At 39.5% G+C, this 12,720-nt stretch overlaps 1 protein-coding gene across 7 annotated transcripts in view; it reads right to left on the bottom strand.

The window, feature by feature from the left end:
- CHRNA5 (cholinergic receptor nicotinic alpha 5 subunit) overlaps positions 1 to 12,720 on the bottom strand; it is a 29,750-nt gene that overhangs the window by 2,252 nt on the left and 14,778 nt on the right. The window contains exons 2-5 of one of the 7 annotated variants that reach the window (NM_000745.4): positions 12,056 to 12,207; positions 6,329 to 6,373; positions 4,595 to 4,704; positions 2,382 to 3,213 (exon numbers count right to left, since the gene is read on the bottom strand). In NM_000745.4, the coding sequence (NP_000736.2) occupies positions 2,382 to 3,213; positions 4,595 to 4,704; positions 6,329 to 6,373; positions 12,056 to 12,207 (1,139 nt within the window). The remainder of the gene's footprint in view (positions 1 to 2,381; positions 3,214 to 4,594; positions 4,705 to 6,328; positions 6,374 to 12,055; positions 12,208 to 12,720) is intronic. The other 6 variants (NM_001395171.1, NM_001395173.1, NM_001395174.1 and 3 more) reach the window with 6 other exon arrangements.

Raw genomic sequence — 12,720 nt, 5'->3', positions numbered from 1 at the left:
GAGTTAGAAGCCAAATCGATTTCTGCCTCCCATTGCTGCCTCTAAACGGTAAGTGACCCTATACTCAGCTCAGGGACAGACACTAGCCTGAAGGTCTACTATAGATATAAGCTTTAAAAGACACTACAAAATATGTTCATTTACACATCAACTTATATTACAAGTGGTTTATTTTGATAGATTAAAAATTAAAATAGACTTGGATATTTTACAATAAACTAAAAAAAATTATTCTTACTATATATACTTATTCTTGCCCAGTAGTGTTTACTTATTTTAATATTTTGAGAGACTCTAGCCTGAGATTAATTTCATGCCAAATTAAAAGTTGGTTCAGAATAATACATGTTAGAAAGCTGTTCATCTTCCTCACATACACACTTTATTTATTTTTGGATTTCCTAGGGACCACTTCAGTCTAATTTCATGAGCACAGAACAGTCTTCCCTGGAGCCAGCTTTAGTAGGGAGCTGGCTCAGCAGCTCGGAGCCACCACAAGGAAAAAGAAGGATGAGCCCAGCCACTAAGCAGCAGGGGCTCCCCTTTCTACAAGGCCATTTCCTTGACCAGGGGCTTCCCTGGCCCTGAACCTCTATGAAGGATGGTGTCCTCTATGGGAACTGTGCCTCCAAAGTGTAGGATAATTTAGAATTTAGGGCATTGTAAACCCTGTTACTTCTCTGCTTATTTTATTTTGAGACAGAGCCTTGCTCCGTCCCCCAGGCTGGAGTGCAGTGGCGTGACCTCGGCTCACTGCAACCTCTGCCTCCCAAGTTTAAGTGATTCTTCTGCCTCAGCCTCCCAGGTGGCTGGGACTACAGGCACACACCACCATGCCCAGCTAATTTTTCTATTTTTAGGAGAGACAGTGTTTCACCATATTGGCCAGGCTGGTCTCAAACTCCTGACCTCGTGATCCACCTGCCTCAGCCTCCCAAAGTGCTGGGATTACAGGCGTGAGCCACCGCACCTGGCCACCTCTGCCTCTGTTTTTATCTGAAAATAAAACCAACCTCCTTGGTCCTAGTAGTATGAGCCATGACCCTTTTGCACAATACTTTGCAGACATTTATTAAATTCCATCTCAGTCTAAACCATTACCTAACAAATCTATGTACTTTTAAAAACTCCAATGATAGCTCCAAACCTTATAAACTAATTTCATTATGCTACCACCAAATAGATACTTCACAAACCCACAAGCATTAGAAGTTTTTATGATGGGTGCACCAAAGTCTCAGAAATCAGCATGAAAGAACTTATGCATGTGACCAAACACATGTTCCCCAAAAACCTATTGAAATACAATAAAATAAGGAAGGAAAGTCTTATTGAAATTAAATCATTAACATATGAAAAAAAGTTTTAAAAATATATACATCAAATGTCCCTTTTGGGATAAAGGCTGTGATTTTGCCAGATTTATTCTGTCTCCTCATACCTGATGGAAATTTTCCATTTAAAATAGCTTTACAGATTATAATTCACATAATTTTAATGTACATTCAATTATGAAAATATTACTATAGTCATAGGTTTAAAATAATACACAATAGAAGAAATAACAGTGACAAGACTGAATTTTATACTTATAAATTCCACATTAGGCTCATTCTTTAAAAGAACTTTTTTTTTTTTTTTTTTTTTGAGACGGAGTCTTGCTCGGTCGCCCAGGCTGGAGTGCAATGGCGTGATCTCGGCTCACTGCAATCTCCGCCTCCTGGGTTCAAGTGATTCTCCTGCCCCAGCCTCCCGAGTAGCTGTGACTATAGGCATGTGCCACCATGCCCAGCTAATTTTTGTATTTTTAGTAGAAATGGAGTTTCACCATGTTGACCAGGCTGATCTCAAACTCCTGACCTCAAATGATCCACCCACCTCGGCCTCCCAAAGTGGTGGGATTACAGGCATGAAGCCACTGCGCCCAGCCTAAAAGAACTTTTGATAACTCCATTAACTGTTATAATGGAGTTCTGCCTACAGATTATCACAATTTAGAAACAAAGTTACTGAAGACAAAATTAAAACAGTTCACCCACTGCCCTCACCCCAAGAAATTAAAACAATTCATCAGGTCAGAGCCAAGAAATATGGCAGGATTATTCCTTAGAATATAACACTAAATTTTCTTTAGAGTTATCCAAGATGCTGATGGGGGAAGTGGAGAAGTGAGATTTGTGTAAATGCCCCATTTTGCAGGTGCTTTAACTGAAACAAGCCTTAGTAAAGATCTTTTATAGAAAATATGTCAACAATTCTGGCCCTCAATCTATGCTTAGTCTTACTTAAGGGTCATGCTGTTTACTCTGCCAAAATTAATGAAAGTAACTTCTGAACTTAAAATGGAAGAAGATCTGCATTTGTAAATACACATCACAGACCTCACGGACATCATTTTCCTTCATGATGTGTCTTGTAATGTAGCGAATAGAATCGAGCGCAGCTTCCAATGTGTTTCTAGAAGATTTTGGTCCACTACCACTCTCAGTTTCCTCTTTCTGAGTGAAGTACCTGTCTACATGACTTCTCATGCAAAGCAGTTTGGGAAGCGTGTGAAGAAATATCTTGCGGACCAAAGGCGCCATGGCATTATGTGTTGAGGAAGAACGATGATGAATGTTGATAGCGAAGACGGTTACCATAATTGACAGTGTCACAAAAATCATGGTAAATACCAGATACTCTCCAATTAGAGGTATGACTTTTGAAGATGATGGTATGATCTCTTCAATAACCAGAAGGAAGACAGTCAAAGACACAAGTACTGAAGTGCAGAGACAAATCTTTTCACCTTCATTTGAAGGAAGATAGAAGACAAGTACAGTTAAAAATGAGAGCCCAATACAGGGTATTATAAGGAACAAGGTATAAAAGAGAGGCAGGCGCTTGATTACAAATGAGTAAGTGACATACGGATACCAGCAACAGCTGTCGGTTCTGTTTCCTTTGCTCCCTGTTGCACTCACAATCTCCCATTCTCCATTATCAAAAAAATCTCTCTTGTCTACATCTTGGTCCTCTAGAATTATATCAACCTGTGATCCATCATAAGTCCAAGAACCAAATTTCATGGAACAGTTCTGAAGGTCAAATGGGAAAAACGTGACATCTATGGTACAGGAACTTTTGTAGTTTGCCGGTGGAGTCCAGGTGACAGTGCCATTGTACCTGATGACTGTTTTCGTACTGGTCCCTTCAAAACGTCCATCTGCACTAAAATACACACATATAAAATAACAATGCAGAAATTAAACAATGCACATGAATTGTATTAATATAAGCCTAATATAAAAGCAGGCCTATCATTGATTGCATGAAATAATTTTTAAATTACTATACTTCAGATAAGATATACGTGCTACATAGGGACCCTGCTCCAGGAATATCTTCCTTAAATATCTAACTCTACTAGAACTGAACCCCTTCTTCTGCATCTACTCCAGAACTGACAAATTTTCACAGAAGCCTGAGATTCTAATGATTGAAAAGACCTCACCTTACACACAGAATAGACTCAGGCTATTGACACAATGGGCACGCATACAGCCAGAACCTGAATCCACACTCCTAGACTCCCTCCACAGTGCTCTTCTTCCTTCATCGCAAATACTGGCCGTTTTTTACTTTGATGGGGAAAGACCATGAACACCAAGCTGGGCATGACCCTGAAAAGCAGCTATGCCTCTCAAGCTCTCCCACCAAGTGAATTCATATATGAGAAAAGTCTAGTATAGAATCCATATACTAGGAAAGCACACCACCAACATAAGATTTCTTTAAAATGTTGCTGTCTTCAAATTCATGTGGCTTTTGCACACTATTCTGTAATATATCCATGTTTAATATAAAAATGTTTTCAATTACTGAAAATAAAATGATGCTCCAGGAAGCTGCATCATGTGTCCTTACAAGCTTTGTTCACTTCTTAAGAAGCATGGAGGTAAAAAGTGTCAAAAGATTAAAGATATTTTTGCATAGCAGTTGCTCTGTCCTCATGCCAAATGGCCTTCTTTCGAATCAGACAAAGTGCTTTAAGATAAGCACAAATTCCCAGATTTGCCCAGGAGTGGTCTTAGAAAAAAATAAAACTGGTACCCAGAATTTTCCTCTCCCCTAAGTTAAAAAAAAAAAAATCCTCAAAACACACCTAGGTAGGATGCCTCTAAAGATGAATTGATAATTAACCCAGCATTCCTCATTGTGGGAAAATGACGATACAGTATTTAAACACAACTAGAAGGATGCACAATTCAACATAAAATATGACCTCAACGACGTAAAAAACATACAAAAAAATCTAGAAGTCTGCCAAATATGTAGTCTAGTAAAACAAAGAGTAAATGGAGGTATCAGTCCCCTTGGTGTGACCCCCCTACTCTGCCATGTGCTAGCTCTGTGATCTTGGAAAAGAACAACCACCCTAAGCCTCTGTTTCCTCATCTATAAAACATGTAATCATACCCAGGCACATGCGGTCATGTCATTTGATTTTTATACCTAAACAATTTCAAAAGGGAGAAAAATTATTAGTGCCTAATAGAAATACAAATGTTTTCTTTTGAAAATATAAAACTATATTTAGAATATAACTTACTTATCAAACAAAACGATGTCTGGTGTCCAGACAGAGTCTGAAGGAACACGTATAACTTTTATTCCACCATAGTCATCAGGGTTCCATCTTAATTTTACATCTATCCATTCCTTTAAAACAAAGAAATCTGCCTCAATTTCAATAAAACTAATAGTCAAAAACAGTGAATACCATACTTTTTTGTCACACCAGAAATTTTAGACATGAGATCATCTCTACCCCCAATAGAGAACACCTCCCTGTCTTTCTTATTATGGGCACCAGATAACCCTGTCCCCTTGTGTAGTGGTTCTCACCATGGTCCCTGTGAGACACAGGTGAGAACCAGAGCTAGATGTGTTCATGGCTCTGCTCGGCAACTCTTCTCCCATCAACTGACTGACTATATCCAGGACTTGAAGCCACAGGCACTTAATATCCAGGTTCAAGGGAAACATTCTTTTTTCCAGATGTATTGTCACCCAATTTGGCTGTTCTGGTCCATGCAAAAGGGAGTTGGATTTATTGCACATTCTGCGTATTTCAACACCTTACCCTACCTCCATGCAGTTACAATTCTGTGATCAAGTTAGGAGCTGCACCCTGAGAAAAGCATATATGCCTTTCAGGAGTTCGGGGTTAGAAAACAAATAGTAGGTATAAAAATTAGGGATGATAAAAACAAAAGGAAGCGCTCAACAGCAGTTAGGACATATGTATGGTGGCCCAGAAAAAAACAAAAGTCCTTTATATAAAAGGGACTATCTATTAAAAAAAAATTCATTTCATTCTTGCCCATTTCCACCTTAGAGAGTCAGAATCCTTGCAGTGGCCTATAAGCAGCTGCTACTCCACCAGCCTCTTCTTGCTTATCTGATGCCATCTCCTACACCCCCTCTCCCCAATGGTTCTCTCACTGCTAGCCACACTGGCCTCCTTGCAACTGCTTAAACACACTAGGCACACACCAGCTCAGAAACCTTTGCACTTGTAGGTCCTGCTGCCTGGAACGCTCCTCCCCAGATATACACATGGCTTGCTTCCTCTCCACCAAGACTTTGTTCAGACATTATCTTCTCAATGCTGTTTTCTCTGACCACCATTTTTATAAGTACACCCCCGACCCCAATACTCCCTATCTTCTTTTCCAGTGTGTTTTTCCCCAAGCTTATCAGCTTCTAAGGTACTATACAACTTGTTTATTTTTCCCCCACTAGAATGAAGTTCCATGAGGGCAGGTGATGTGGTTTGGCTGTGTCCCCACCCAAATCTCATCTTGAATTGATGGTTTTATAAAGGGCAGTTCCCCTGAACATGCTCTCTTGCCTGCTGCCATGTAAGACATGCCTTTGCCTCTCCTTCACTTTCCACCATCATTGTGAAGCCTCCCCAGTCATGCTGAACTGTGAATCCATTAAACCTCTTCCCTTTATAAATTACCCAGCCTTGGGTATGTCCTTATAGCAGTGTGAGAACGGACTAATACTACAGGGTTTTTTGTCTGTTTTGTTCACTGCTGTTTCCCCATAACAGTGTCTGGCACACAATAGGCACTCCAAAAATACTAGCTGAATAAATACAAGAACTCCATCTACCCTCATCTTTCTGTGTCCTGCCAATCCACCAAGGCCATATAGTCACGTATTCATTTGTATTCACAAATATACATACTCTTGTATTTCTGCTACAATACATATAATAAAAATAGGTGTCCCAGTCACTAATTGGGTGCCCGTTTGAATTTTACACACATACCTGTTTCAACCAGACGTTTGTTGTCATTAACTGATTTTTCTCATCCTTTAAAAAATAAAAATTTAAATAAGATTGATTTCAATTACAGAAACAATAATTCTTTAAATAATAAATTTCACATTGTTATATAAACACTCTTCTTCACATAGTACCCACATTTCATTCATCAATCTGGTTCTCTAGAAAGCTAGGATCTTTCTTCCAGCCTAATTTCACATTACTCCTTTCAACATACTCTCTATTTCAGATAAACTACACTAAAAGATACCTTTGGCATTTTTGCATTTAACATTAATCATCTCAACTACTATATTTCCTCATATTTAAGATGCAGTCTAAGATATAAGCATAGTGTTATTTTATGTGCTTAGCACTAAGAGGAGAAAAAAGGGCTGTCAATGAATTACAAGCTGCCATGAATTATAAGACACATCATGATTTCAGAAGTATTAAAATGCGGAAAAGTGTGCTTCTTAGAATCAGTGAGATACGGTATTTCTGTACATCCCTGAGGGACATCTCTTACAGTCATTTGCCTCTGCTGAGGGAAGAATCTGAATTTCCCTGTAGGTCTGCTAGACAGAAACAACATTGAGGGCTGGGCGCAGTGGCTTATGCCTATAATACCAACACTTTGGGAGGCCAAGGTGGGCAGATCACTTGAGGGCAGGAGTTTGAGACCAGCCTGGCCAACATAGTGAAACCCCATCTCCACTTAAAAAAAAAAAATACAAAAAATTAGCCAGGCATGGTGGCACATGCATGTAATCCCAGCTATTCAGGAGGCGGAGGCACAAGAATTGCTTGAACCCGGGAGGCAGAGGTTGCAGTGAGCCAAGATCATGCCACTGCACTACAGCCTGGGCAACACAGCGAGACTCCATCTCAAAAAAAAAAAGAAAGAAAAGAAAAGAAAAAGAAAAAGAAAAAATATTGGCAGCCTTGAATACGAATTTCATAAAGCTTTTCGTGCCTACTTTTGTAGAGAACTGGAGGTCCTTGGTACTTCTCACTTACACCTCTCTGCTATCATGTCTTTGCTATGCCAGTCCTTTACCAAATATTCAAGGTGTAATTAAAGTAATACTTCTTCCATTAAATTTTAGTGAAATATCATGGAGCCAGGAGAATCAACAAAAGATCCATAATCACCAGCCGCAAATATATTATGTGTAGGACACAATGCTATGCACAGAGACTCACAGAAGTATGAGGAAACTGGGGAGATAGGACAGGGGTGTAAATAAATATTAATACCTCAGGTAACTGGAGGTGACCCATTCCTTATCCCGTCCCAACAACAGGTAAGTGACCCAGGACAAAGGAAGAGACCAGAAGGAAGCATACCCCTGAGGATGCAGGCAGCTCCATGAGGTCCCTGCATGGGGAGAATGAGTACTGGGAAATGCAGCACGGCCATCTCTCTTACACTGCAGTTCCAAAGAGCAATTTTCCTTGATTAAAACACTAGAGCTGGCTGGGCACGGTGGCTCACACCTGTAATCCCAGCACTTGGGAGGCCAAGACGGGTGGATCACGAGGTCAGGAGTTCGAGACCAGACTGGCCAATATGATGAAACCTGGTCTCTACTAAAAATACAAAAAGTAGCCGGGCATGGTGGCACACCTGTAGTCCCAGCTACTCAGGAGGCTGAGGTGGGAGAACCGCTTGAATCTGGAAGGCAGAGGTTGTAGTGAGCCAAGATCATGTCACTGCACTCCAGCCTAGGCGACAGAAACTGGCCCAGAGAGGTGACTTGCTTAAAGTCACAGCACCGATTACTGGTAGCACTGATTTTAGAACTCAAATTTCCTAAATCTAAAGCCACCAACTCTGCTATCCACCCTAGTCGCACACCACCCAGAATAACTGCTGATCCCTGTATCTGAATATGCCTGTTAGGCAAAAGTTCTAAACAGAGGCATTTATAATTAGGAAAGTTCTGGTAAACATATTACCCATGATGATAGTATATAGCAATAGGTCATCTTTGAGAATCTAATGAAACTTATGGGCCTTTCCCTAGAAAAATGTGCACACACACATAAATTGGGCTCCCAGTCAATACTTAGCACTTTCAACAATAACACAGATAAAAGAATAATCCATAAGTTCACAAATGGCCCCTAAGATGTGGTGGTTAGCCATTACCATAAGGGATACCGCCTAATTTAATGTGACCTCAAATACCTCCCAAGCATCTATAATGTGCTCAGCACAATGGAGGATGCAACAAAAATGAACTGAGGACAGATAAATGTACGATGATCCCCAGGAGGAAACCTAAACTAACAAATGGAAAAATGTTAACTACATGTGTAAATATAGCAGAAGAGTTTCAGGGGTAATCGTATTTATAAAAAGATTTTATCTTTAAAATCAAAACAAACAAGCCAAAAATGAGATTTAAAAACAAAAAAAAGACAGAATATGTGGGAAATAAGGCAGGAATCCACCAAATATGATTCCGGGGAGCTTAGCGATAAAAGGAACCTAAAACATCTCAGACACAATTCAGTGAATTTGCCATTCTCCATCTCCAGAGCCCTCACCCTTCATCTCCCCTGACTGCAGTCCTCTTCTGCTTTCGTAGTCACTGACATTTCATTTTTTGGGCTCTTCTCTCAAGAAGCAACCCTTCCCCAACTTCTCTGCTTGGTTACCCCTTCCTTCTACCACTTTCTACAAATGTTCCTCAAGGATCAGGTTCCTGCTCTTCCCACTAACTTTAAAAACTCATCAAAGTGGGAGGTGAGAGGCAAGGGCAAAAACAAAAACAAAGAAAACTCATCAAAGTTTTCAACAGTCTCCTCCAGGCCAGCAATTCCAGATGGACATCCTTGTTCTCATCTGTCATCTCAGAGCCAGTCTTGACTTCCCAAAAGCTAGTGAACATTTTCTTTGGAATTAACACCTCAAACCACAATCAAACTCATCATCTTCTCTGCCCTACTCCCGTAACAATGAAGAGTATTTTTCTTTTTTTTTTTTTTTGAGACAGAGTCTCGCTCTGTCGCCCAGGCTGGAGTGCAGTGGCGCAATCTCGGCTCACTGCAAGCTCCGCCTCCCAGGTTCACACCATTCTCCTGCCTCGGCCTCCCGAGTAGCTGGGACTACAGGTGCCCGCCACCATGCCCAGCTAATTTTTTTGTATTTTTTAGTAGAGACGGGGTTTCACCGTGTTAGCCAGGATGGTCTCAATCTCCTGACCTTGTGATCTACCTGCCTCGGCCTCCCAAAGTGCTGGGATTACAGGCGTGAGCCACTGTGCCCGGCCGACAGTATTTTTCAAATGTGTTACTCTTCCACTCTAATCACCTAGGCTTCAAAATGTGATGCCTCCCTCCATATTCAGTGGTCAAGTCCTGTTCCTTCTTGTATGTGGTCTTCTAACTTGCCTTTCATTTTCTAGTCTCTCTTTCACTCCTCAAAACCATGTACATTACTGTTTTACTGATCTTCTGAAAGTACTGCTTTGATCGTGTCTGTTGCCTATCAGGTCTCTCACTCATTCAGCATTTACTATGTACCAGATACCGTGCTAGGTTCTGGGACAGATACAAGGAATAAAGTTCACCCAGCTTTGAAGATGAAATGCCAGAGCACATGAGTACCAGTGAGTGTAATGGGCACCATATTAAAGTGCAAAAAAAAAAAAATTTTGAACACAGGAGAGGCTGTCTTATGGATTCTGGAAAGATTTCACAAAGGGTCTGACAGATGAATTTGGCCTTGAATAATAAATGGCTAGTGCCAGTAGGAAAATTCTCCCAAGAAGTAAACATGGCAGGAGTAAAGACGAAGTGGCATGCAGGGATTCTCCTCACCTTCTCCACCGTCCAGTCAGACCACTCCTGTATGCCAGGGCTCCCAACATTCATCTTTTGATCTAAACAGCTGTACAGGAAGGCTCAGTTATCACTTATATACCTACAACTATATTGTTCCTTTGTACTTAAATACTTTTCCTCTCTGCCACGTTGAAACCCTACACTTCCTACAAAGCCAGCTCGGGTGCCACCTCATCTACCCTACCTTCTTTGATAAGGTCATTCATTAAGATCTGCATTCCCAGCTCTTTCTGGCATCATGATTTAGTGCTACAGTTTTCTACACCATTTGTGTGTCAATGACCTCAACCAGAAAGATCTTTGAGAGCAAGCCCCACCCACCTTACTTTTTCTTTTCTTTTCTTTTTTTTTTTGAGACAGAGTCTTGCTCTGTTGCCCAGGCTGGAGTGCAGTGGTGCAATCTCAACTCACTGCAACCTCTGCTTCCCAGGGTTCAAACGATTCTCCTGTCTCAGCCTCCTGAGTAGCTGGGATTACAGGCACGGACCACCGCCCAGCTAATTTTTGTATTTTTGATAGAAATGAGGTTTTGCTATATTGGCCAGGCTGGTCTGGAACTCCTGACCTCAAGTGATCCACCCACCTTGGCCTCCCAAAGTGCTGGGATAACAGGCATGAACCACCACACCTGGCTACCACCTTACTTTTCCACTTTCCTATTTTCATTTAAAATCTCCCCATATTGACTAGCTAAGGGCTGAGCACACACAGTCCACATATATTCATTAACCTTTCTGGAAGCAATTAGATGACATAGCAATAGACTTTGAAAAAGGTATATCCTTTGGTTCACTAACTGCCTTTCTTAAGGAAAGGAGACGTTCAGGCATTTGTGTACAAATATATTCATCATTGTTAATTATAATAAGAAAAATTGGAAACAAGCTTCTGTTCAAAATGGGAGAATGCTTAAATTATAGATGAAATATGTAACTATTAAAAATTATATTTGGAGAGTATGTAATGACATAAGAAAATGTTCATCATGTCATAGTAGAGAAAAAGCAGTAATCAAAATTATTTCTAAAATATTATTCCAATTTTGTAACATATACACAAAGACAGACTGGCAAGAAACACAACTAATTATTAACATTAGTCATCTCCGGGTAGTAGAATTACAGTCACTTTTTATTTTCTCATTTGTATTTTTTGCACTTTCCAAATTCTCTACAAAAATCACGCATTGCTTCTGTAATCAGAACATAAAGCACATCTATAAATGTTATTTTAAAACATACATATATATAAATATACATATACTTGGTTATTTTGGGAACACAACAGGGAAATAATTATTGATTTACATGTTCAGAACAAGAAGAAACTAGTTTAAAAATTAGCATGAATGTTTTAGTTTAAATAGATAGGATCTCTTGACAATAAGTACAATTTATCAAGGGAACTTATTCTACTAATGAACGTCATATAGAAAAATTTCTGAAATGTTTTAAGTGTGAGCCCAAGATAATGATCTCTTGTGATACTTTTAGTTCCTAAGAATCTATCACTCTATTTTTGGACTTTTTCTCTTAAACTTAAAAATTTATTTTCTTTTCCCTCCTTTCAAGCTAACTTTTTGAAACTATTTTTAACACATTTAAGGAATACACAATGTTTTAGATCTTTGAATTTGTTAAAGATAGACTTATAATTACCAAATTGAGATAAACAGTTTCTAAACTATAAAATATATAAACACAGTGTGTTATCATGTATGTGACACAATCACTACTTTTCCCTGGTGAGTTCCTTCAGGCAAAGGACTGCTTCAATCACCTTTGTAATCCTTGGTGCCTAGCACAGTGCCTGGGCACACACCAGGCTCTCACTAAATCTGTGGGAAATTGACTATAGAAGGATATGCACACCTACCACATCCACCAATTGAGATATTGCAAGTCCAAATTTTATTTTTATTTTGTCATTCAGGTGTTCCACAGGACGAACCCATCTTTCGTAGTCTTGAAATAAATCCTTAAGCAAACTATCTTCATGTTTTGCAATAGAAGAAGGTTCAGATAATCCTGTATAACAAATTTTTAAAAGTTAATGTACTCGCTTCTCTCCCACCAGATACCTGTACTTTCAAACAAAAGTTCAAACCCAGGAGGCAAAGGTTGCAGTGAGCCAAGATCGGGCCACTGCACTCCAACCTGGGCCATGGAGAGAGACTCTGTCTCAAAAAAAAAAAGGAAAAAAAAAGTTCAGATTATTAATGAACCAAACTACAATTTAGGCTATTATTAATGCAGCTTTTAAAATGAAATATTAATGTAAGTATTTCTGATAGAATAAGGGACACTCTGGTTCAGATACGTCTCAGTTAAATCAGACTGACTATTGGAATATGCTGAGCTCCTTAAGAAACACTCAGTACTCAATACAGAATAGTTTCAAATCTAAATAATAAAAGCTTTTAAATTGCCAGGGTGGCAGGAGTTATCTTGAAATTCCAAACCTAGAAAACAGATATACTAAAGCAAAGCTCATTTATCAATTATAAATGTTAAAATTGCTTTAATTTGCATAATCTTTTT

This window comes from Homo sapiens, chromosome 15, assembly GCF_000001405.40.
Source record: "Homo sapiens chromosome 15, GRCh38.p14 Primary Assembly".
In the NCBI taxonomy this organism is placed as follows: domain Eukaryota; kingdom Metazoa; phylum Chordata; class Mammalia; order Primates; family Hominidae; genus Homo; species Homo sapiens.
This window is presented reverse-complemented; position numbering and strand designations above follow the sequence as displayed.